Source organism: Homo sapiens, chromosome 17 (genome assembly GCF_000001405.40).
Source record: "Homo sapiens chromosome 17, GRCh38.p14 Primary Assembly".
NCBI classification, from domain to species: domain Eukaryota; kingdom Metazoa; phylum Chordata; class Mammalia; order Primates; family Hominidae; genus Homo; species Homo sapiens.
Window position 1 is genome coordinate 17,475,837 of NC_000017.11, and position 25,695 is coordinate 17,501,531.

General features: G+C 51.5%; 2 protein-coding genes across 3 annotated transcripts, besides 4 other annotated features; one reads left to right on the forward strand and one right to left on the reverse strand.

Moving 5' to 3' along the window:
* Window positions 1,164-17,385, forward strand: MED9 (mediator complex subunit 9). The gene is made up of 2 exons (NM_018019.3): window positions 1,164-1,429; window positions 15,443-17,385. The coding sequence occupies exons 1-2, from the start codon at window positions 1,206-1,208 to the stop codon at window positions 15,657-15,659; spliced, it is 441 nt and encodes a 146-aa protein (NP_060489.1). The 5' UTR covers window positions 1,164-1,205; the 3' UTR covers window positions 15,660-17,385.
* Window positions 1,168-1,267: an enhancer, noted in NCBI's record as "active region_11800". NCBI's record gives its function as "activates an Ori minimal core promoter by ATAC-STARR-seq in GM12878 lymphoblastoid cells {active_cell/tissue: GM12878}" and the evidence as "EXISTENCE:reporter gene assay evidence [ECO:0000049][PMID:35858748]".
* Window positions 18,601-20,559, reverse strand: RASD1 (ras related dexamethasone induced 1). Of its 2 annotated transcripts, none has more exons than NM_001199989.2 (2): window positions 20,060-20,559; window positions 18,601-19,774 (listed from the first exon to the last, which is right to left on the reverse strand). In NM_001199989.2, the coding sequence occupies exons 1-2, from the start codon at window positions 20,343-20,345 to the stop codon at window positions 19,692-19,694; spliced, it is 369 nt and encodes a 122-aa protein (NP_001186918.1). In that variant the 5' UTR covers window positions 20,346-20,559; the 3' UTR covers window positions 18,601-19,691. The 2 variants fall into 2 exon arrangements, with proteins under 2 accessions (NP_001186918.1, NP_057168.1); NM_016084.5 differs by having other exon boundaries at window positions 18,601-19,848.
* Window positions 20,490-20,709: a silencer, noted in NCBI's record as "silent region_8243". NCBI's record gives its function as "represses an Ori minimal core promoter by ATAC-STARR-seq in GM12878 lymphoblastoid cells {active_cell/tissue: GM12878}" and the evidence as "EXISTENCE:reporter gene assay evidence [ECO:0000049][PMID:35858748]".
* Window positions 20,870-20,999: a silencer, noted in NCBI's record as "silent region_8244". NCBI's record gives its function as "represses an Ori minimal core promoter by ATAC-STARR-seq in GM12878 lymphoblastoid cells {active_cell/tissue: GM12878}" and the evidence as "EXISTENCE:reporter gene assay evidence [ECO:0000049][PMID:35858748]".
* Window positions 21,050-21,279: a silencer, noted in NCBI's record as "silent region_8245". NCBI's record gives its function as "represses an Ori minimal core promoter by ATAC-STARR-seq in GM12878 lymphoblastoid cells {active_cell/tissue: GM12878}" and the evidence as "EXISTENCE:reporter gene assay evidence [ECO:0000049][PMID:35858748]".

A 25,695-nucleotide genomic window follows, 5' to 3' on the forward strand; every position in this document is an offset into this window, starting at 1 on the left:
AAGCATAACCATAAACCCATCTTTGGCCTATGATCCTAGGGAGTCCTCATGCCAACAAGACCTTTTGGGGTCAGCCACGCATGTGAAGTTAGAATGCAGTTTAGGCTGTGCCATGAATCTGAACTAAATATGATTTTAGGGGTGAGGAAACTGGGACCTAGGGGCTTGGGGAACTGGCCCGAAGGTATGGAGAGTACCTGACCTTGTCGTTCTTCCAGGATATGATATTTACTCCTGGCACCAATCCCCTCTACCTTGTACTGAAAGCAAGGACAGCCTGCCTGCAACCACACATACAGGTGGCCATCCAGCAGGTGCATACTAAATGTGTGTTGAGTTGAATTATTAGACTCTTTCTAAGCAACCTTGCAGCATTGAAGGGACCGCAATCCCTTTGCCTCTGCGTCCTTAGGGCTAAACTCGAGGTCTCGATGTCTTGCACTGTGGGCTGGGCCGGGTTTGGTGCCTCACCCAGCAGGTAAGTGCTGTCTACGCCTCCCACAGGTCCAGTGGCTCCTCTCCAGACTTGGGTGCACTGGGCCAGGCTGCACCTTACTAATCTCAAGGCTTCCTGTGTTTGTGGCTTTGGGGCCCTCTTCATCGTGTGAATAGGAATAAGAAGATTGTTATTTCTGGCCGGGTGCAGTGGCTCACGCCTGTAATCCCAGCACTTTGGGAGGCCGAGACGGGCGGATCACCTGAGGTGGGGAGTTCGAGACCAGCCTGATCAACATGGAGAAACCCCGTCTCTACTAAAAATATAAAATTAGCCGGGCGTGGTGGTGCATGCCTGTAATCCCAGCTACTAGGGAGGCTGAGGCAGGAGAATCGCTTGAACCCGGGAGGCGGAGGTTGCGGTGAGCCGAGATCGCGCCACTGCACTCCAGCCTGGGCAACAAGAGCGAAATTCCGTCTCAAAAAAAAAAAAAAGATTGTTATTTCTGAAATAAACCCCTATTTCTCACTATTTAATAATTTAGCAATCTTGACTCACAATCCAAATCCAGGCACCCCAGACCCACCCACGGCCCGTTGCCTAGCAACAGCCTCCCCACCCCCGCCTCCGCGCCTTTTCCCGCCGACTGCCCAGTGCGCACGCTCAGAGCCTTCCTCCACACCCCGCCCCTGCAGGGCGCGCGGTGGTGACGTGTAGAGTGCGCGACGCTTTTGGCGACCCGACCTCTGGCTAACCTACCCCCGGAGCCATGGCCTCTGCTGGGGTGGCAGCCGGGCGACAGGCGGAGGATGTATTGCCGCCAACGTCCGACCAGCCGCTGCCTGACACCAAGCCGCTGCCGCCTCCTCAGCCGCCGCCGGTCCCTGCGCCTCAACCGCAGCAGTCGCCGGCGCCACGGCCTCAGTCACCTGCCCGCGCGAGGGAGGAAGAGAACTACTCCTTTTTACCTTTGGTTCACAACATCATCAAATGGTAAGAACCTAGGAGAGGACCAGGCCCCATACTCCCTCCAGCTTCTCCTCTCAGCCGTTTCAGAGCTGCAAGAGGCCTTGGCGCTCTGGGGCACGCCCCCGTTTCACAGATGGGGAAACTCAGACCCAGAGCGGGAAGAGGCCTTTCCCAAGACCACAGAGACATTCCATGAGTTAAGCAAACGATTTGAGCCTCGAGAGGTGCGATATCCTTAAGAATGAAGCCAGCTTAGAGACTAAATGCAGACTCTTGTCCAGCGGCTCAAATGTTCATCCCAGCGATCTTGAGCAAATTAAATCTCTTTAAGCCTCAGTTTTCTCACCTTTAATGTTGGTAATACTCACTTTAGTTCCTTAGTTCAGCAAACTCAACAGATAAGCATCATCTTCCCTGTGCCAAGTGCTACGGGATGGACGCAGTAAAAGGGGCCAACTTTTCACCCCCAAAGGTTTAGATAGAAGGAAAAAAAGACATGATTGGGAATAACCCACAATTCAAAAAGATTGAGACGGGAGTGGTGGCGATGGGAAACATTAGACTAAGCAGAAACACAGAAGTTGCCTCAGATGATTAGACCCACTTGTACTGACTTTGTTCTAACAGTACCAAAGGAAATAATTGTTGTCATCCTTTTGGCCAGCCTTCAGGGTAGCCTGAGTTTTCAAAGTGACTCTGTAGAGGAAAAACCAAAAACAAAAACACAAAAGTCTCACTGATCCTTATGTTTGCCTAAATTATTATTTTTTTTGAGAGAGGGTCTCGCTCTGTCACCCAGACTGGAGTACAGTGGCGTGATCTCGGCTCACTGCAGCCTCAACCTCCTGGCCTCAAGCCATCCTCCCACCTCATCCTCCCAAGTAACCGGAACCACAGGCATGAGCCATGGCACCCAGCGAATTTTTGTATTTTTTGTAGAGATGGAGTTTCACCATGTTGCCCAGGCTGTAAATTATTTTCATTATGTTACTTCACTGTATATCCACGTGATACTAGGTGTAAACCCCTAGGCTTGTAACTCTTACTCAACCATTAAAGACCAAAACAAAGTAAATTAAAAGAAAATTACGATTCCAGTAACATTCAGGTGAACATGAATGTGCTCTTCACTGTTTTACTGAAATGGAATTGTTACAACGTGAAGGTCTTGACTGTTAGTGGCCCACCCACTTTTGAGTTTAAGCAAATTAGATTCACTTGCTGTGGGATGACCTGATGCTCTTCTGCCACTTTTCAAATAACTACAAAGGCTTTGTTCTCACATTAGACCCTGGCTTCATTTGGTTTCACTTGGTGTTTAAATACTGTTTATAGGGGCCAGGCATGGTGTCTCATGCCTGTAATCCCAGCACTTTGGGAGGCCAAGGCGGGCGGATCACGAGGTCAGAGTTTGAGACCAGCCTCGTCGACATGGCAAAACCCCATCTCTACTAAAAACACAAAAATTAGCCGGGTGTGGTGGCGGCTGCCTGTAATCCCAGCTACTCAGGAGGCTGAGGCAGGAGAATCACTTGAACCCGGGAGGTGGAGGTTGCAGTGAGCCGAGATCATGCCATTGCACTCCAGCCTGGGCAACAAGAGCAAGACTCTGCCTCAAAAAAAAAAAAAAAGTAATGCTTATAGGATAAGGCAGCCTATTCAGTTTTCGTGAGCCTGTGATAATGATCATAGACAGAAATACATATGGAGCCCCTGTAATCCTAGGGCAGTGCTGGATTATAAAGGGTTTATTCTGATTAACCCTAGTTTACTGGTTTTAAGAAAAATGTGGAAAAATGAAAACACAAAATGTACACATTCACAAGGACAGCTCTTGAACTCCCCAAGAGTATATTCTTGAGCCCTGGTAGAGCAGCTGGGTTGGGTTGGCCTTAAAAGATGTAGTAGTAAGTTATACTAGAGAGAACAGGCTTTGAAGTTAGACAGCCCTGTGTTCAAATCTGTGTACTGACATTTTCTTGCCTTCTAATCTTGATATAAATGCCTAACCTTTCTAGGCCATAATCTTCTTATCTCTAATATGTCCATAGTGGACCTCAAAAGAGAGGTTCAGATTATGTCATAGCTCTATAATGTGCTGACTGGGTGACCTTGGCAAGTAGCTTAGCTTCTCTGAGCCTGTTTTTCTCTTGTGAAATGGGAATGCTTATGTCATAGGATTGTTGGGAGATGTACTCAGGAGTGTACCTGTGAAACATAGTGGGTTGATCACATGTGCTTGTCTCTGTTCCATCTAAAAGGACAGAGAAGGGAGTTTAAAAAAAAAAAAAAGCATAAAACCTTCAGACATGGTGGTTCATGCCTGTAATCCCAACACTTTAGGAGGCTGAGGCGAGCCGGTCGCTTGAGCCTGGGAGTTCAAGACCAGCCTGGGCAACATGGCAAAACCCCGTCCCTACAAAAAATACAAAAAAAATTAGCCAGGCATGGTGGTGTGTGCCTGCAGTCCTGGCTACTTGGGAGGCTGAAGTGGGAGGATCACTTGAACCCAGATCATGCCACTGCATTCTAGCATGGGTGACAGAATGAGACCCTGTGTCAAAAATAAAAAGCATAAAACCAAAAAGAATAGGACAGGAGATGATTGCCACAAAGTGGATGACCAGGGCTAATTCATCTACCAACTCCTAAGCACCTGGTTTGTTAACCATGGCCTATCCCCAGATCTCAGGAACTCTAGTGCAAGGACCCCCTGGAAATAGGGGTGAAGGTGGGTCTAAGAACAGGAAGATTACTTGGAAGTCTGTTTAAGAAGCAGGTCCCCACAGTCCTGTCCCACCTCCCATCCCCTCCAAGCGGCCGGGTGACTACCCTTCTTCCAACTTGGCAGATGGTTAAAAGGTTACTCTCCCGAGATTTATTCTTAGGAAGGAATAAGCCAGAGAGTACCTTGACTGTGGGACACCAGGCACACTGCAGGGGTAGGTAGGGGGAGCCATACTGAAAAGAGGGATTAAGAGAAAGTTCACAGTCTGAAGAGAGACACCACCCGAGCCTTCCCCCACCTGGCTTCTAGATTGGCAGCCAAAGAGAGTGGAAGTGCCCTCTCTATGGTGCGTGACCAATTAAGAGAAAAGACATTGGAAAAAAAAAAAGCCTAGTCAATTAATTCTGAGAAAATGAACAAGCATCACTCATTTGCAGAGCTTCCACTAAGCCTTTTAGTGTTTTATTCTTAAATATATGAGTGGATGGCCAAGGTCACTAAGCATAGGAAGAAACCCCCTGGTAAGAAAGACACGGGTCAGGCGCGGTGCCTCATGTCTGTCTGCAAGCCCAGCACCTGGGCAGGCTGAGATGGGAGGATAGCTTGAACCCAGGGAGCTGAGGCTACGGTGAGCCATGATCGCACTGCTACACTTCAGCCTGGGTGACATAGACTCTGTCTCAAAGAAGAAAGAAAGAAAGAGAGGAGACAGAGAGAGAGAGGAAAAAAGAGAAAGACAAGACAGAAGAGCAGAAAAAGCCACGTGGAGGAAACAGTAGCCACAAAGGAATGGAGTGGTTCTGCAGCTGTAAACATGAGAAGAGGCTAGGATCCAACCTGCAAACCTTCAGTATAGGCGTGTCTTTGAGTTTATAGGCAAATGAGGGAGGAATAAGGGCAGAGGAGGAAGGGAGAGGAGACCTCGTGAAGCCTGGGGGAGTCAGAAGGCTTGGTAAGAGTGATGCCAACAATGAGTCTTCAATTAGGAAAGGGAGGCAGGAGGAATGTTGGTATAGGAAAAACATGTAAGGACACGAAGCCAAGAAATAGCATCTACTCATGGGAGTCAGCTTCTAGCTTGGTGGTGTTGAGCATACATCCAAGGCAGGAAGAGGTGGCTGGGGAGGAGGGAAGAGCCAGGAAACAGAGTGCAGGTGTCTTCTGAGGGATGGGGAGCTAGTGAAACTGTCAGGCTGGAAGCCAGTCAAGACACAGTACTGGCGGGTGGAGATGAGGGCTGGGACCATGTCCGGTCCACCCAGGTGGCGCTCTCTGGCCCTGGGTCCCTTCCTTTCCTATAACTTCCCCAATGATCCTTTTATTCTTTGTTTACTTCTTGCACAGGGGTGAGTAAGGAGGTAAAATCTGAAGTAGTGAATTTAGCCTTTCTTGTTCTCATAAAGAATTCAGAGTTTTTGAAAAATTATTTAATAAAAGTAACAACTGCAAGTTTAGAAGTACAGAGAAACGTAAAATGGAAAATGTGTTCCTTCCCCCAAGTCCCCTCACCTGTAGTAACTGCTGTTAATACTTTCCTAAGTTCCTTCTGGGAATTACATATGAATGTCATTTCAAAAATTTATACAAATTGAGATCACGTCGTACTTGACTTTTTTCACTGATTAGTCTCTTTTGGCCACCTTTCCATACTGCACATAAAGATCTACCTCATTAAGGCAGCTGCAGAAAATTGCATCTTGTGGATGCAGCATAACTGATGGAACTGGTTTTCTGTTGATGGTCTTCTAGCTGTTTTTCTTATTCTTGCTATTACCAGCACAGTGCTGGGGTTAGCATCTTTGTGTAGGAGTAAGTTTATGATCAGATAAATCCCAGCAGTAGAATTGCTGGGGCATAGGGTACAAACATTTTTTATAGTGATAGTTATGCTAAATTTAGAGCACTACGTCTTTTTAGCTAACTCTTTTCCAAAATTCAGTCCTTGTAGACTAGACTGCTTCAGTTAACCTAAAATGGCCTATAAATCTGCCACCCAGAAAGCATTAAACAAAAATTAAAGTTGTAGACGGATTCTACAAGTACCCATGGATATGAAATGGAAACAGGGCCTCTCCCTTCACTCCTCCCAGCTCCCTTGCAAAGCTGTGTAATATTCCACTTTATGAACGTGCTGTCGTTTATGTAAACAGTTTCTTGCTCAAGGACACCGTCATTGTTTCTGCATTTTGCTGTTGGAATCAGCACTGCAGCAAGCATCTTTGCCCATGCTATCTTGGTGAACTCTTGGTAGTCTCTGTGGGGGTAAATTTCTAGCAATGGGATATGTGAATCTGTTTGGGTCACTATGAGCAAAGAATGCCCTGATCTATGCTTCCACCAACAGTTTTTGTGTCTTTCCCCATCACCTGCCATCACCATTAAACTTTTAACTTTGGCAAATCTCATAGGTCAGAAATGATATATTGATCTTTCATTAAGTTAGGTAAAGCATCCCTTCATAGGCGATTTTATATGTCACTTTTATTTTTCCCTATAAACTGTCCATTTCTCTGTTAGATTTTTTTATGTACAGAAAGGAAATAATGTGTGTCAAATGTACTGTAAATACTTCCTCCAGGTTGTTGCTTTTCTTTTGACTTTGTTCATAGTCATGGTTTTTCTATTTGTTTTTCATTCAGATGCATATAATTTCATGTAGTCAGATTTGTTAGGCCTTTCCCTTATGGCTTCTGAGTTTTGGTCCTACTTAGAAAGGCTTTCCCACTCTAAAATTATAGGTATTGATCTCTTTTTTCTAGAACTTTCATGGTTCCATTTTTTACTTGTAATTCTTTGAGGCTCCTGGAATTTATTTTGGTGGGAAGAATAAGGGGGCCTCGGTTAGCCACATCTTCCCACTGCTGTTTTTGAATATTTGTTATTTTCCCTGCTTGCAGTGCCACCTTTACCATGCACTGAATTCCCACATGTTTTCTGATCTACTTATGGACATTCTCTCCTTCTCCAGCACCAAACTATTTTAGTTCTTAAATCTTCATGGTACATTTAATTATCTTTTAAGGTTAATTTTTCACCCTTCCTCTTTCTTGTCAGTATTTCCCTGGCCCTTCCTTTCCCGTGGAGTTTTCTAGCAGCCTGCCTGATGCTAGATCATGATGCTTTTGTTAATGGAACATTTCGTCTTTAATCTGCTTCTTTACTTCCAAGCCTGTTGATACTACTCATTGGCCAGGTCGTTGAGCCTCGCTTTTGAGTATTATAATCAGCATTTAATTAGTCTCTTTGCCTTTATGCTTATTTTATCTTGTGAATGTTATTTGGCTAATTTTTCTTTGTTCTCCATTCTTCTCAAATTGAGCCCAAACTTAGGCCTTTACTCAGGGATCTCTGCAGACCATTTTCAGATTGTCTGCCTGAATAACCCAACACAAAGCCCACAGAGGGTCCTCTTGCTGCAGGTGCTGTTGGGTGGGCGGAGTCCTCCAGGCTGGCAGACCCTCCAGCCCCTCCACTAGAAGTGCCCACAGAAATGCTGCACAGAGCCCTGTGAACCAGAGCCTCTCCTGTACCCCCAGGGACCCACCTGGTTCTGGGAGTGCTCTGGCTGGGACAGCCCTGCTTGGAGTTGGAACCCATAGCACTTTCATCTCTTCTAGTGTCTTTCCCGCAGTTGAATGAAAAATTAAACTACACATTTATGTTATTTTTAAAGAATGAGGAAAGGGAGGCTGGGCACGGTGGCTCACACCTGTAATCCCAGCACTTTGGGAGGCCGAGGCGGGTGGATCACGAGGTCAGGAGATCGAGACCATCCTGGCCAACACGGTGAAACCCTGTCTCTGCTAAAAATACAAAAATTAGCTGGATGTGGTGGTGCACGCCTGTAATCCCAGCTACTAGGGAGGCTGAGGCAGGAGAATCGCTTGAACCCGGGAGGCGGAGGTTGCAGTGAGCCACGATCGCACCATTGCACTCCAGCCTGGCGACAGAGCGAGACTCCATCTCAAAAAAAAAAAAAAGAATGAGGAAAGGGAAAAGAAATCCCATTTTCATGCCTATAAGAAATATTATAAATCCCAACTTTGAGACTTTCTTGATATATATAGATGCTACATTTTAAAAATGCATCATAAAGGAGTAATGAAATGGGGTCTGTTAGATTGGGGAAAATTATTATTTTTTCCTTCAAACTTAACAAATTTGAATCTGAGTTTGGAATGAAGTAGCTCAGCCTAGGCCTTCTGAATTACAGTTGTTGCTGCCTTGCGTGATGGTTTTGGCTCACTTTGTAAGAGTAATCTGTCGACATTGGGTACTTTAAAAACATTTTTTAAATTCAATGTTTTAATTCTTTACAAGGTCTAAGGCTGCTAGGTAGGTAGAGGGGAGCCGTCCTTGCCACCACAGATGGGGCTCAAGTGATGAGCACGCTGTCTGGCCCCTCCAGCTTGGCCTGGCCGCTTCAGCAGGTCAGCAAGACCTCAGAGCCCCAGCCAGACCTCTTTTGTGGGAACAGGGTGTTATTGACTGTCTTCTTCCCACTCAAGTATCTATTTTAATCTGCCCTGGCCTTCCATGCCAGCTGAGACCCGTTCCCGGGTTGTGCAGGAAGCGGCCCCCGCTAAGTGCCCACACTGGCTTCCCGGGGATAGTCCGCATGCAGTTACTGCAGGCCTCTGCCGTTCACTTTCTTCTCCCTCAGCCACACCCCAGGGAGCAGGATGAGCAGCCACAGATAGGGGGTGTTCATAGACTGCTCAGATGAGGTGTTTCCAGTCTGCCTAAAAGCCTCTTCACTCCTCTGCCATGTCATTTCCATCCACTCAGTATGACTTATAACCAGAAGGTGGGCCCCAGCAGAGGCAAGCCCCACGAAGGCAGGCCTTCGCGAGTCAGCACTTCCTTAGTGGGCGTGAGAAATGCCAGGCAAGCATTTACGTGGGTCCTGGGAAGGGTGGGAAGCTTTGCCTAGGAAGGCTGGAAGCACTTGTGGTGGCACTGGGGGGGTCTCCTTCACAGTTTGAATTTGCCTGAAAGGTGTTATCTGTGGGTAGGAGGCCATCTGGAATTATTTTATTTTATTTTTTATTTTTGAAATGGAGTCTCACTCTGTCGCCCAGGCTGGAGTACAGTGGCGTGTCTTGGCTCACTGCAATCTCTGGCTCCCAGGTTCACTTGAATCACTTGATTTCCGTGCCTCAGCCTCCCAAGTAGCTGGGACTACAGGCACACGCCACCATGCCTTTGTAAAAAACAAAACAAAAAAAAATTGTATTTTTAGTAGAGACAGGGTTTCGTCTCTGTCTACAGGCACACGCCACCACGCCTTTGTAAAAATACAAAAAAAAATTTTTTTTTTGTATTTTTAGTAGAGACGGGGCTGGCCTCAAGTGATCTGCTGACTTCAGCCTCCCAAAGTGCTGGGATTACAGGCGTGAGCCACCGGCCGCCATCTGGGATTTTTAAGCAGCATAGTGACCTGCTCAGACTTGGGTTTCTAAAGGTAGGTGGGGCAGAAGTGTTTCAGAAGAGGGGAGGACCTGGGTCCACAGGAAGGCAGTGGCAATGGGAGGTGGCTGGTCTAGAGGAGATGGAGCTGGCAGGATGGTGGCTGGAAGAAGGGGGCACACAGGTGCAAGCCTGGGGGTCCTAGCGTGGCCAGTAGAGTGTGTAGGTGGGACTGCACCCTCCCCCCGTCCCCTGCTGACAGCAAGTCTATGCTGGATATTTGCCATCTGCCAGACTCCAGGCAGGAATGACTTGGTAACTGTGGAGGGAGGAAACTCAAGTACAGGAAGGAAGGCTGACTGGGGAGGTGGTCCCCGTGTCGAGGGTTCGGGAGTGGATGAACACGTTCTGGGCATTTTGTAGTGCAGTGATTTTCATACTCCGTTTAGCAGCAGCACCTTTTGTCACTCTTTGCTAAAAAGAATATTTTTTACATGTAATGCTGTTAGCAGATGAAAGCAAGGGTGTGAGTTCAAGGCCTCCCTCTCCGGAAGGCCTCATAGGTCTTGGCAGAACTGGAGCAGAGAAACACAGTTGATAGGTAAGTAGTAGCCAGTATCATCCAGGGCGGGATGGAGAAGTGTGTCCTCCGTGGCTACAGATAATCTACATCAGTACAGTTTTTTTTTTGGAGGGCATTTTGGTAATATCTGTCAAAAATTTAAATATATATAACCTTTGACCCAGAATCCCTACTTTTAGAAAATGATCTTACCAAAATACTTGCACAAGTGAGAGGTGACAGCGTGCTGGCAGTCCTCAGAGCCCTCACTTGCTCTCGGCACCTCCTCTGCCTGGGCTCCCACTTTGGCAGCACTTGAGGAGCCCTTCAGCCCACCACTGCACTGTGGGAGCCCCTTTCTGGGCTGGCCAAGGCTGGAGCCCACTCTCTCAGCTTGCAGGGAGGTGTGGAGGGAGAGGCGCGAGCGGGAACCAGGGCTGCGTGCGGCGCTTGCGGGCCAGCTGGAGTTCCGGCTGGGCGTGGGCTTGGCAAGCCCCGCACTCGGAGCAGCCGGCCAGCTCTGCTGGCCCCGTGCAATGAGGGACTTAGCACCCGGGCCAGCAGCTGCGGAGGGTGTACTGGGTCCCCCAGCAGTGCCAGCCCACCGGCGCTAAGCTCGATTTCTCGCCAGGCCTTAGCTGCCTTCCCGCGCAGCAGGGCTCGGGACCTGCAGCCCGCCATGCCTGAGCCTCCCACCCACTCCATGGGCTCCTGTGCGGCCCCAGCCTCCCTGACGAGCACCACCCCCTGCTCCAGGGCGCCCAGTCCCATCAGCCACCCAAGGGCTGAGGAAAGCAAGCGTACGTGCAGGACTGGTAGGCAGCTCCACCTGCAGCCCCGGTGCGGGATCCACTAGGTGAAGCCAGCGGGGCTCCTGAGTCTGGTGGGGACGTGGAGAGTCTTTATGTCTAGCTCAGGGATTGTAAATACACCAGTCAGCACCCTGTGTTTAGCTCAAGGTTTGTGAGTGCACCAATCTACACTCTGTATCTAGCTGCTCTGGTGGGGACGTGGAGAACCTTTATGTCTAGCTCAGGGATTGTAAATACACCAATCGGCACTCTGTATCTAGCTCAAGGTTTGTAAACACACCAATCAGCACCCTGTGTTTAGCTCAAGGTTTGTGAATGCACCAATCGACACTCTGTATCTAGCTGCTCTGGTGGGGCCTTGGAGAACCTGTGTGTCCAAACTGTATCTAACTAATCTGATGGGGACGGGGAGAACCTTTGTATCTAGCTCAGGGATTGTAAATGCACCAATCAGCGCCGTGACAAAACAGGCCACTCGGCTCTACCAATCAGCAGGATGTGGGTGGGGCCAGATAAGAGAATAAAAGCAGGCTGCCGGAGCCAGCAGTGGCAACCCGCTTGGGTCCCCTTCCATGCTGTGGAAGCTTTGTTCTTTCACTCTTTGCAATAAATCTTGCCACTGCTCACTCTTTGGGTCCACGCTGCTTTTATGAGCTGTAACACTCACCGCGAAGATCTGCAGCTTCACTCCTGAGCCCAGCGAGACCACGAGCCCACCGGGAGGAACGAACAACTCCAGACATGCTGCCTTAAGAGCTGTAACGCACACCGCGAAGGTCTGCAGCTTCCCTCCTGAGCCAGCGAGACCACGAACCCACCAGAAGGAAGAAACTCCGAACACATCTGAACATCAGAAGGGACAGACTTCAGACGCGCCACCTTAAGAGCTGTAACACTCACTGTGAGGGTCCGTGGCCTCATTCTTGAAGTCAGTGAGACCAAGAACCCACCAATTCCGGACACACAAGTACATAAGGGTATAAGTACAAGATGTTCACTGTCATTCTAGTACAGTACAACCACCCATGAATAGCCAGGGTAATTTCGCTGTCTAATTGTATATGTGTTAACATGGAAGGACATCTGAGGTGCCTTGTTAAGTAGAAAAAGCAAGAATGAGAACTATGGATGGTCACATTTCTGTCAGAACAAATAAGAAAAGTTTGTGTGTTTTGTATGCTGTTGTACATTTCAAAGCCATCTGAAACAGTGGACACCACATGTTAGCAGAGGTTATCTCTGGAACAAGGGGTTAATGAGATTTCCCTTTTCTAAGCCTTGGTTGTCTCATTTTTGAATTTTTTCCCTCAAGTACCTATTACTGTCATTTTTTAAAAAAGTGATCTTAGAAAAATGAAAGCCACTGGAGTTAGTACCGTGCGAGGAGAGCCTGTGGGCAGAGGAATGGACTGGTAAGGGCTGGTCTGAGGGCAAGGCAGCTGGGACAGAGTGGAGTGTGAGGCACAGTGCATGGAAGTTGTGAGGAAGAAGAAATGGGAAACTGAGTCAGATGCCACCAAAAGGTCAAAAGAAATGACTGTCAGATTTGGGAGGAAGTCTGTGTCAGTGGTTCTAGCAGAGTTATTGGCCAGTTTGCATCTGTACTAAAGCATCCATGCTAAAAAGAAGAACAAAGAAAATCAGGGCATGATTCTCAGACACCTGCCTAAAACCCTGTGATGTTTGCCTTTGAGTCTGGTGACACGGATACAACTGTCTGTCAGACGTGGGAAGGATGCTCAGAGGATCACCCCTGGCGGTAGTATTTTTGTCCACTCTTTAAAAAAACCATAGTAGGGGGCTGGGTGCGGTGGCTTACGCCTGTAATCCCAGCACTTTGGGAGGTTGAGGTGGGCGGATCACCTGAGGTCGGGAGTTCGAGACCAGCCTGGCCAACGTGGAGAAACACCATCTCTACTAAAAATACAAAATTAGCCGGGCGTGGTAGCGCATGCCTGTAATCCCAGCTACTCAGGAGGCCGAGGCAGGAGAATCACTTGAACCCGGGAGGCGGAGGTTGCAGTGAGCCAAGATCGCACCATTGCACTCCAGCCTGGGCAACGAGTAAAACTCTGTCTCAAAAAAAAAAAAGAAAAAAAGAAACCACAGTACCACAGTAGTTGGGACCAAAGTGCTCTGACCTTGCCTTGTTTGTACGATGTTCATCCTCCTTGACCTAGTGGCTTTTTTCATTCCTTCTATAGTTGGCCGATGACTAACCTTGAACACAAAGGTAGGCCCACTTAGAGCTTTCTGCTTTTATTCACTCGGTATTTGGTCCTGTCCCTTTTCTTTTGGCTTGAATATTTCACAGTCATCCTGGCTTAGCAGATGCCCACTTCTGAATAGCATGTTCTCTTCACTCCAGGAGTTCCATGCTATTTACCTCCACCAACTAGGGCAGTTGGGCTTGCAGAGGGGCCTCCCTGTGGGCTGCATGGCCCCTTTTGGCTCAGCTGCCCTCCAGGCGGCTTGTCTTACAGCTCCTTTTTTATTATCTGAAGACTGTCTCCTTTCCTGAAAGTTCACCAAAGAACACGCAACCCTTGCTATTTGGGGGTTTTCAGAGATGAGCATCTTAAACATGACCCACTTTCAACTTTCAGAACTAAATTTTCTTTTGGGCCAGGTTATGTTTGCTTCAAGAATGGGATTATCTGTCATCCACATTTCTATTTTAAGTACTTTTTTGTTTGTTTTACCATGTCCTTTGAGACTCATGTGAGTCGGTTTTTTTAAAAACTATATTTTAATTTTAAAACTTCCTTGGGACTTAAATTCGTAACGGTATGTTAACACGCATGCCATCCGAGTAGAAGGATTTCAGAAGTGCAGATGGTTTCTGTCCACATTTGTGGATCAGAGCTGAGACTTCAAAGAATTAAAATAAAAGACGTTCCCTATTTGCTTCCTTCCAAAGGATTTTTAGTTCTCATGAATACCAGTTCATCCTCTCTAGAATCTGCGATAAGGTATACTGTTAATGGTGTCTCTCAGTTGAGGGCATCATTTCCTGGCCTCTCATTTCCTGGAAGAAGTGATTGATTCTCCATACCCTCCCTCTGAGTTTAGAGCTGTTGGTAAATACTGAGCTGGCCATGGTGGCCATCTGATTTGCAAGGTGTGAGACGTAACTGATGGATCGCCAGGAAAGATGGATATTCTGCCTGCGTAAGCAGAGAAATGATGAATAGTAAACATGAATTAGCACCATCTGGGTTGAAATTTCCCACTACGGATGAACATTTATTTGAAAAAATTAATGATCATTGACAGTTTTTCCCTCTTATGCCTCAATGGCTTACTTTCAGAACAGCTTACTGAATTGCCTTTTAGTTTTGGTCTCAACCACTTGTTTTCAAAAGCTCATCCACTTACTAACTTTTAAAAAACGTATAGGAAGCTGAGTGTGGTGGCTCATGCCTGTAATCCCAGCACTTTGGGAGGCCGAGGCAGGTGGATCACCTGAGGTCAGGAGTTCAAGACCAGCCTGGCCAACATGGTGAAACCCTGTCTCTACTAAAAATACAAAAATTATCCGGGCGTGTTGGCATGCGCCTGTAATCCCAGCTACTCAGGAGGCTGAGGCAGGAGAATTGCTTGAACCGGGACCCGGGAGGTGGAGGTTGCAGTGAGCCGAGATCGCACCACTGCCCTCCAGTCTGGGCGACAGAGTGAGACCCTGTCTCAAACAAACAAAAAATGTACAGGAGCAACTGCCAGGCTGTTTTTTTGATCTTAAGTGAGATTGTTCTTGCCTCGTTTTTCATTGAGTAGGACCTCTGTGCAGCTAATAGCTGTGAGATGGAGCGAACCGTCTGCCTTGAAAGTGAACTTGACTCAAAGACAAGGACTGTCCATGACCATGGTAGAAGAGAGCCTGTGTCTGCTGAGACATTTAAATCAGTTCCATTTTAACTAATCTAACATTTATGAACAGCTCTGTGGAAATTAGTCTTTATGTTAACAGGTTCAAGCCAGCATCAAAACCTCAGCTAAAATTAGCTCTTGCTAACTGATAAAGCCTCCTGATTGGCCTAGAAATGGCTCCAGTTAGACAAAATGTCGTATTTCAACAAGTTTTGTTTGGCATTTGTCACCTGATATTGGTATTGGTTTGTTCATTGAACCAACATGTTCATGAGCTTATTTGCTAAGCATTCATTCTTTCCACGGACATTTCTTGAGTGCCTGTAGTGACCTACACACTGGGCCGGGGGTAGGGAGACACCTGTGACCAGGCAGACATGGTCCTTGACCTCAGAGTGACAGTTGACTTGACAGAAGATCAAGAGTGTCTGTGTGTGATCTGCAAGTGTGCTAGGCCTGGGAGCTCTGTGCCAGCTGCCTAAAAAAGAACCCGTCCCTGCCCTCTGGGGGTGGACAGCCTAGTCAGGGGATAGACACATAAAACGAAGTGTTCTAAAAGCTATGGCAGGAATGACAGCCAGCTCTAGGGGGTGCAGGGCAGGAACGCCAAGACGTGTATCAAGCTGTGAATGCTAACAGCTGTTCTTCCCCCACAGCATGGACAAGGACAGCCCGGAGGTCCACCAGGACCTGAACGCCCTCAAAAGCAAGTTCCAGGAGATGCGCAAGCTCATCAGCACCATGCCCGGCATCCACCTGAGCCCCGAACAGCAGCAGCAGCAGCTGCAGAGCCTCCGGGAGCAAGTCAGGACCAAGAATGAGCTTCTGCAAAAGTACAAGAGCCTCTGCATGTTCGAAATCCCCAAGGAGTAGAGTGAGGCTGACTTCCTTAGAAAGAGGGGGAAGCCAATGGCCTGTCTCCCCACTACCATCCCCAAACGCTCCTTGGGGCGTGGTTCCTGTGGACCCCAGCTCAGCTCGTCAAGCTGCAGGGGCGGGGCTCCTGTGCTGCTGCGCGCGCTTCGCCTGTGCGGGAGCCAGCGCAGAGCTTGGCTGCGCCGGGGGTTCCTCGTGTAGATCCATATGTCTAGATGCATAATAACTGGAGTGCCTGCTGGTGGAAGTCAGAATGCTCCTGGAGGCTGCAGAGGGGGTGGAGGACTCTCCCCTGCCTCTGGGGAGGGGGCCATCTGCTGCGCCCGGCCCCACTGACAGATCTGAAGAGCACAGTAGGAAGGGAGGCGGCTCCTCTTTGCTTCCTTCCCTCTCTCTCCTCCCACCCCCATAGGATCAGTGTGTACCAGGTACACATTGTTCCTGTTAACAGCAGCTTCTTGAAACATTTGCATAGAATTCACTGGACGAATTAAGCCTGCACTCATATGGCATAGAATTGTGAGAGAATGTTTTGAAAGGCCAGAGGGTGGCCTTTTTCCCCAAACAGTTTGGTTCCTTTTATGTTTGAGCCAGTGAAGGGAACTACGCTTTGGGGGCTTCAGCCTAGAGCCCTGCCAGGCAGCCCCTGGCTCCAGGTTCCCTGCCTCCTAGCGCTCTCCTCGCCTTCAGCTCTTGCTCCCTTCCTCGTTCATCACCCTCAGTCAGTGCCCAAGAGTGGCCAAACCGCTTCACATCTGCAGTGCTTCCCCAGGGTTGACAAGGGGCCGTCCTTTCCACACAGGCCAGAAGAGGTCTTCAGGCGAACCGACCTTCCCCCTTCTGGCATTTCAGATTCCCCTTGCTCTGGTTAAAAGGTCTTTCCCTCGTGGCCTTTGCACTTGCGGCAGCAACGTGTACTACACTGCAGAAGGGTTCAGTATGCACCTTGTGTTGAGAGAGAGGCAACCCTGGGGGCCAGTTCAGGTGGTCCCCAACCATAAGCTAGGTCTGAAAGTTACACAGCCAAGTTTGAGCTCTTAAAAGTTGATGAACAGCCTCATTTCCCCAGCTTCCCTGATTTCTTCCAGATGGGACGTTTTATTTGTGTGCTCTCCCTTGACTGTCAGATTGAAGTAAGAGCAGTTCTCTCCGTTGCCTCTCGAGGAGGAGGTGCGAAGTCCTGGAGTATTGTTTGGGTCTCGGAATGGGCGCATAACCTGCGCTGACCAGTTTAGGGGCTTAGCAGATGCCTGCCAGCTGACCTCGTTGGCAGGAGGGTTGGGTGGAGATGTTTTTAGCAGAGCTTCCATTAGTGTAGACCTGTAGCCACCTGTCAGAAGGTGGGTGGCATATTGGGGACCTGGGAATGTGTGAAGGAGGAGATCAAATTTCAGTGGCTTTGGACAGAAAAGAAGGCTCTGGATTTAAGCGGGTGGTCACCTGTGAGACCAGGTCTACCTTGGGACTGTTATTTAACTGAATCAGTTATTTCCTTGAAATTTCACAGTAGTGGGTGGGCCTGTTTTAAGGCTCTGACAGATACCACGAAACATGAAGCACGTGGAACTACAAGACCCCCGGGGTCTTTCTGAGTGCAAGGCTGAAATGGACAAGGGCTCCTCACGGGGGTGGAGGGAGCCGGAGCCTGCCTTGTGTTCCTTTTTTGACTTGTGACATTTTTCAAACACATAATTAAAAGGACTTATGCTCTGCTGTCTCAGGACATAATGCTTTTTGTACTGAGAAATTCATAGTGGGATGGCTCTCAGATAGTTGAGAGGAAAATGTTTCTCTCAGTCTCTTCAGACACAACCACACCTCTGCTCCTCACTCCCTCCGCCCCAGCACACACACCCGCCCCAGCACACACACCCGCTGAACCAGTGTGGAACAGGAACTCCTCTCCCGGCTGGCCTCAAGGGCAGTTTGCCTGGCGGGTCATCCCTGGGCTGTCCTTAGTTGCCTTTTATTTTTGGAGGGGGGAGGTGGGGGGTGCCTTTTGGTGACTCGAGGAGGTTCAGTCCTGTGGGGAGCCGCCCTCACCAGAGCAGGGTTGAAATCCTTCTAGGACAATTTTGAGTGTCTCTCACAGGGCTGAGCGTCCTCTGAAAGCCACCAATTACTTGGATTACTGGGTGGCCGGCATTTATGCTAAGTACTTTTCAAACATCACACTTAATCCCCACAGTGAGCCCATGCCGAGGGTGTTCTCTCTTCCCGGGGTGAAGAATTAGAGGCTTGGCAGGTGTCACCCACCAACAGGTTTGCAGTACTAGTGGCAGAGAGATTGGTGTTCTGGGGTGCCTTAGCCATGAGACGGAGACAGCAAGGCTGAAGGGGGATGGGGCTCTACACCTGGCCAGGAGCACTTCCTGGAGCTAGAGGGGAGCAGAGGCTGAGGAGTTAGCTGTTTCCAGACAGGGTGGCACCCTGGAGTGAGCGGGTGGTGGGGGCGCGCCAGGATGGTCCTGTTTCCAGATGGGGTCTCAGGCTCTTTCCCCAGGGCCTGACTGATGCCTCCAACAGTCCGAAAGTTTGCCTGGGCCCACACTGAGTCTGGTGACAAAATGGTTAGGCACAGTTCCAGTGGCTTTTACGCTGAAGAATTCAGAACATTCTCTCAGAAAATGAGGCCTTTTGTCATCTAACCCAAAGAAAATTAAGCGGGTGGATGGCTAGAAAGAGTTCATCTCCAGGGGGGACCCTGAAATCCTTTATATTCTTCCCGGTTTTCTAGGGAACCATCCCCTACATAGATGCCCCAGGCATCTGGGGCTTTTCTGGCAGCTGAAGCTGCCTTCAGAAGGCCAGGGTTATTTTCCAGTTCTGGGGAAGGTAAGTTCTAGTTCCACCTAAGTCAAAGCCCAGCCCTTTCCTTCTCCCCACCCTTCCCCACTCCAGCCATCTCTAAAAGCAAAAAAAAAAAAAAAAAAACCGGTTTTCCATTTTAAATTATTTTATTGTATATTAAAAAACCAAATAAAGCAATAACTTTAAAGACCTCAGACACACACAGTATAAACACCTGGGTAAGGTTTTGTTCGTGTCCATGTTGACACCGGAACTACCGTTAAAGTGCAAGTTTTGTTTTGTGTTCCTTTGTGCAGTTTCACTCACATGTAAACAAGTCACTTGGCTATGATTTGACCCACGCCCCCCCGCTTAGTTTTGGGAGGGCAGAGGCTCTACCGGCTGTCACAGCAACCCGGAATCACAGACAAGATAATGCCCCGTGGGTCCTGACCCTCAAGCGGGCATGACGGTTTCTTGAAGCCTAGCAGAGGCTGGATAACTTCACATCCCTCCCCCACCCCGCGCTCACTCTTAGGTCTTTGAGAAGATAAATCCACCCTCGGCTGGGCCCTCGCTCCCAAAGTTATGGGGGTGGCGGGCCTCAATGGGGGACCGGGGGTGGGGAATAGTCCCAGTCTTGGCCCGTTCTCTTTCCTTCCGGAGCAGATGACCGTCCCTTCTCGGTTCAGTGGCGCCTCCCCAGTGCTGGGGGCGGATCGCCGGGAGGGGAGACGCCAGTCCGCGCGCGCTCCCGGCCTGGGGCGCACCGGGCCGTTGGATTTGACTTAACAAAAAGGTCCTCCTTAGGTTGTGTCGCCAGCGCGGCGGGGCTCCTAGCTGATGACGCAGCGCTCCTTGTCCTTGGCCTGGCTGCCGGCGCTGGCCTTCTCGCGGATGTACATGAGGTCGCTGTGTACGCTGGGCCGGCGCGCGAAGGGTGCCACGATGCCAAAGGCGTCGCCCGGGTCGCCGCCGCCGCCGCCGCTGCCGGCCCGCAGCAGCTTCTTGTTCCGCAGCGCCTTCTTGTGCAGCACGTCGCAGTACTGCACCGAGACCTTGCGGTGCAGGTCTGGGCTCATCTCGCTGGGCAGCTTGGCCATGGCGAAGAGCGCGCGGAACATCTGGTCCAGGCTGCTGTTCTTCTTGGCCGAGATCTCGAAGTAGGCGCAGCGCTGGGGGTCGTCGCCCACCAGCTGCTCGATCTCGCGCTGGTCCACCTCGCGGTAGAAGTCGCGGTCACCCTTGTTGCCGCAGATGACCAGGGGCACGTCCACGTTCTCCTTGGTTTTGTTCTTGAGGCAAGACTTGGTGTCGAGGATCTGCTGCCTGAGCCGCTGCACCTCCTCGAAGGAGTCGCGGTTGTCCAGACTGAACACCAGGATGAAAACGTCTCCTAGAGGGGGCACAGAGAGCAGAAAAGGAGAAGGTGAGGGTGGCCGCCCAGGGGACAAGTCGGGCTGACTTTGAGGCCGCGCGGGGCGCGCTAGCCTCTCTAAGCGCGAAGCGCACTACTCGGCGCGCGGCAGCCGGACCGGCGCTCGCGGGGCGCCCTGGCCGAGGGTTCCCCGCCCTTCCCTCCCGCACCTGCCCGGCCCCCGGCTCACCTGTGAGGATGGAGAGGCGCCGCATGGCGGGGAACGGGTGGTTGCCGGACGTGTCGAGGATGTCGAGCTGGTAGACCTCGCCGCGGATGGAGTAGAACTTGCGGTGGAAGTCCTCGATGGTAGGCGTGTAGGCGTCCTCGAAGCGGCCGGTGAGGAAGCGCGACACGATGGCCGTCTTGCCCACCTTGGACGAGCCGAGGATGACCATGCGATAGCAGTTCTTGGCCGGGATACTCAGCTCCGAGTCGCTCGGGCACATCTTCTTGATCATCGCGGCCAGTTTCATTGGGCAGAGGGGCCGCGAGGGCGGGCGCGGGGCCGAGAGAAGGGCAGAGAGCGGCTGAGGGTCGCTGGGGTGGCACGCGGGGTGAGCGGCTGGAGGGCTCTGCTCGGGCTGGGCGCGGCTCGGGCTTGGGGCTCCGGCTCCGCTCGGGCTGGGCTCGGGCTAGGCTGGGCTCGGCTGGGGTTCTCCCAGGATCTGGGCACAGGCCGCTTGCTCTGGCTTTGGCGCCCGGCCGCCGCCCTTATATGCAGCCTGCTCGGCTGCCCCGCCCCGGCCCTCCCAGCTCGGTGCGTCACGCCCCGCGGGGCCCGCCTCCCCCGCACCGGCTCCCAGTCCCGGCGACCTCGTCACCCGCTGCCGGGCTCCTGCTCTCTGGGCGCGGGGGCTGGGGGGAGCAGTCCAGGGTCGGGCTGAGGCTGGAGGCGCTCGGACTCCGCTTTTCCACTGCCGCGGGCTCGGCGGCCGCAGGGGCGTCGGGGTTCTGGTCCCGGCGGTGCCCCTGTCCCTCTGCGACTTCGGGCAAGGACCCCCATTCCTGCACCTCCCGCGCGCGTACACTTATTTTCTTTGGTTCTCAGTTTCCCCAGAGAATAGGAATCTAGTAAGTAACCCAGTAAGCGCAGCAGCGTTTGCTGAGTGCTTGCGCGGACCGTATATTGCAGTCCTCAGAGCACAGCCCCAGCCCCAGCCCCCTTCCGCTCCGGTCCCCAGCCGGGCTCTTGTTCCCGGGAGGCGACCGCCGGGCGGACGCGGGGTTTCAGGGCCTCAGGCGCGGAGCTCGGCACCGCGCGCTCGGGCCGCCAGAGGGCAGCAGAGGGCCCGGCCGGCGGCTCGGGGAGGCTGTGGCCGCCGCGGGCAGAGCTAGAACAGAGGCTAGGAGCAGGCGGGTGGGGAGCGGCAGGGATGGAGCAGGGGTCTCAGGGCGCCTTGCTGGGGCCCAACAGGAGCGGTCCCCAACCCCGCGCTCTGCTGCAGGCCTCAGCCTGCTCCTTTCTCCCAGCCAGAGATGCTCTGTGGTATGGAGGGCTCTGCAGCCAGCGGCCCACCCCGTCCATCATAGCATTTTGGGCTTTTACTGTGCCGCGCGTGGGCCGACGTTCTCATTGTCTAGCTGAGAGACCTGGAGCTCAAAGCCACAGCGAGCCAGGAAGGCCCTGGGAGCACAGCACAGCCTCTTGCTTTCTCCTGGGCCTCAGTTTTCTCTTCTGGAAGATACTGATTCTGGTTCTGTGATTAAGGATGAAAATATGCAAATGCTTTAGGAGGGCGGGGCCTGGTAATAACAATAGCAACAATAACAGTAGTATTGACCCATGAGGCCTGGTGGGGGTACTCTCAAGAGCACACCAGGTCGATCAGTAACCAGGAGTGGGGTGATGTTGCTGAACATTGGCAACAGGCTGTCTGGAGCCAGCTCCTCAGCCCTGAGCTCTTGAGGCAGTCACTGCTCCTCAAGGCAACCTGTGTGCTCAGTGTTTTGCTTTGGCCACGTCTGACTTACGAGAAAACTAGGGAGCCATTAGCTGGCACCACCGGCCCAGCTGTCAGGTGGTGGTCTGCAGGCAGTGCTGTGAGTGCCATACCACCCACCCCATGCCTACCCACCTCCCTCCCACGCTGGCACTTGCTGTAGGGGCTGCTGCAGGACACCACTAACTTGTTTCTCAGCCCAGCTTGGCCCCCATCCTCAGAGTCCCTGCATCTCTCCCAGGCCTCACTCTTACTGTCAGATATTTCAAATGCACGCATCACACAGTGAGCATCCAAGGGCTCATCAGTGGCCCTGGCCTGGCTCTGATTCCTGGTGTCACTTATGCAGCAGTTATCCGACAGGCTAGCTGGGGCTGGAGCCCCGCCATTCTTGGTTCCTGCCCCCATCTGAGGTATGTCTGCCAGAGTCTGGGAGAAGGGGAGAAGGAACTGAGTCGCAGCCCTGGATATAGGGCTGCAGTGGTGCAGGGTGTTCACTGCATAAAGGAGCCAGTTGAGGGTACATGGGGGGGCTCAGTTAAGGTACGGACCTGAACCACCTTCAGACTGAGCACCGCCTTCCTGTGCCTCCCACAGCGGCACTGCATGGGCAGCCGGGCTCTAACTTGGGATGACTGATGGCCAGGGCTATAGTGAAGGTGGACCCCACACAGCCATTGCCTCCTGGGGCTCTAGTCCCAAGAGGGTCCATTTGATATGAGTGGAGGGCCCGAGGGTCAAGGATCACAGCCCAGCTCTCCCCTGGTCAGTGTCCAGGCTGGCCCCTTAAATCAGGAACATGACACTGGCAGGCACTGATCTAGCCTGTGTCCTCAGCCACAGTGATTCCTGGTACCATCTGTGCATGGCCGTCTGCCCTACGGATGCTGGGTTGTGAAGACCCAGGCCCACCTGCCATTCCCATTCTGAATGCCCCAGAGCGCCTCCTGTCAAGGAGGTGGCCTCTGGGACTTTACTCCTCAAGCAGCAAGCCAACTTCCTTGTTTCCGCCCTCGTCTTTTCTTTTAAAAGGGCATCTCTTTCCTTTTATTACAAAAGTAATAAATGCTCATGGTTTTTTAAAAACCCAAGCCATTTCAGAAAGGACCAGAATGAAAGAAGCACTGGGATCAGGCCTCTCTCGGCCACACCCAGGACAGCCTAGCCACCAATTCTGTGGGGTGGCATCTCCTGATGTCCCCACATGGGCGGACTCCCAACTGCATGAAGGAAGTCTTACCCCGGTGCAGCCTCTGCCACCCAGCTCTTTGTTCATGCAGGTGCCCTTTTTCCTTCTTCTGGGGTTTGCCTGTGTGACTTTATGCCAGGCCCTACCCTAGGCTGGCTAATCAGAGTGGCCGGGGAGGACTGGGGGCTGGAAGACAAACAGGAACAACTCGCAACTCACAGAACCATCCGCCCCGTGGATCCCGGAGTCCCACAGAGAGGGAGCACGTGTACTGGGCTTCCCAGCACTCCCGCCGCCTGGGCCCTGTCAGCCATCGCGGCATTTGATGTCCAGGTTGATCACAGTCCCATGCTGTATGCAATAAATAATTCTGTTTTCTGTGTGTTTGGGGCATGAGACAACAAACAGCGTATATGAGGCTATGAGCCTGTCTGTAAATAGTATTTACCTGCAGTGCAGCAATTTTGCTGCTTAGAGGGGAGGGGAACTGTTTAAAATATTTGACAATGTCGGGGGTGATCTGGGGGTGGGCAGGTGGACCCACCCCCCCCCCACCAGCCCCAGGCAGGAAATGCCAGCCACACAGCCTCATTTGAGGGCAAAGAGCAATTAGAAGGTTCTTGAGAGCTGGGCCAGAGGAGAATGCTGGGCACCCCATCAGAGCTTTGCCTGTTGTGGTGTCCTGAGACAGAGTCCACACAAAGGCCAGAAGTGGCTACTTCAGGTGACAGGAACCCAGAGCACCCTCGGGCCTGGGCATTGCCGTGCTGGCCCGTGCGGCCAGAGCCCATCTCTACCAGCGCCTTGGACAGAGGAGGCCCTGAGGCACGCTTCTATCCTGTGTGGCCCTGGTACGCCACCTCCTGAAGAGGAGGAAAGGGGCAAATAGAGCTGGCTTTGCGTTCCCTCTGACAGGCTCCCCTCATCAAGCTGAGATTTTAACTCTGGTAGATTCCTCATCAGTGATGAGCTCTGTACCCGACAGAGCAGACCCTTCCAGCAGAAGCCAGTTCAGCCCAAGGCTCCCGGCTCTGCCCCAGGAACCAAGGGTCAGGATGCACGGAGCTTTGCTGCCCGGCTCAGCCCATCCATCAGCAATATGTCCTCAAAGGCCGTGTGTGCAGAGGTGCTGGCGGAGGGAGTGAGCACCTGTGCAAGCAGGAGCAGGACGGAGGCACTGGATATGGTCAGACCGGACGCCTCTCATGCCCCTCAAGCCCTGAGACAGATTCTGGATTCTAGAAAGCAAAGAGAAAACCTTGAGGAGCTCCATGGGTGATAAGGGAGGCACTGCCTGAGCACCTGCTTTATACACAAGGCAGTCATGACTATGATGGCCATTTTACACATGAGGGGCCGCAGGGTCAGTGTGTGCAGTGTCCGTCTGGCCCAGTGCCACACCATGCCTTTCCTTGGTCTCGCTCTGTCACCCAGGCTGGAGTGCAGTGGTGTGATCTTGGCTCACTACAACCTCCGCCTCCTGGGTTCAAGCGATTCCCCTGCCTCAGCCTCCAGAGTAGCCGGGAGTGCTGGTGCATGCCACCATGCCTGGCTAATTTTTGTATTTTACCTCAGGACCTTTGCATTGCCACTCCCGATGCCCGGAGGCTCTTCCTCCCTCCTGCTTCTTCTTGAAGTTGGGTCTTGGCTCAAATGCCACCTCCTCAGAGAGGCCCACTTGACCACCCTAGCGAAAACAGGTCACACTGCCATGTGTCCCTTCCAAAATTTCCTGTGTGATGGTTGTCACTGATCATTTTCTGGTTCATACTATTCACACTGCTCCATTTTCTCTTAAGTTTTTAGGATACTAGTCTGAATCACAGAACAATACTGCTTTTCTTTTTTTCTTTTTTTTTTTTTTTTTTTTGTTGAGATGGAGTCTCGCTCTGTCGCCAGGCTGGAGTGCAGTGGCATGACCTCGGCTCACTGCAACCTCTGCCTCCCGGGTTCAAGCGATTCTCCTGCCTCAGCCTCCTGAGTAGCTGGGACTACAGGCGCCTGCCACCGCACCCAGCTAGTTTTTTGTATTTTTAGTAGAGATGGGGTTTCACATGTTGACCAGGATGGTCTCGATCTCTTGACCTCGTGGTCTGCCCTCCTCGGCCTCCCAAAGTGCTGGGATTACAGGCATGAACCACCATGCCCGGCTGAATAATACTGCTTTTCTAAGTTAGAAATGGTCACATGCAGTATTGGCAACTTTATATGGTCCAACTTGATATGACTTGGCTATAGTAGGGTGCACAGATGGAAAGTTTACAGCTTGAAGGTTCCCCTCTGTGCACACCTGTGGCAGCACCACATCCAAGCACAGGACACCTCCAGTTCTGAAAAGCTCCCTCGCGCCCTCACCTGGCTAAGCCTCTGCCGACTACACTGGCTTCTACCACCGTAGATCCGTTTTGCCTTTTGTGTCTGGTTTCAATGCATCGTAGGTCCACGACATCCTTCCACAGGTACCGGCCACTCATTCCTTTCCTTGCTGCAGGGGAGACCATTGCGTGACTAAGCCACGACGTGTGTGTCCACTGTCCCGCTGGCGAATGCTGGGGGTTTCAGGAGACAGGATGCAGTGGGGATGGGTGTTAGTTGGTGCTCCCAGGCACTTGTGTCTGTGGGGAGACCCAGGGTGGAACTGCTGCATCATAAGTGGCCCCCCACCTACGGAAATGCACCATTTCTCCCCAAGGA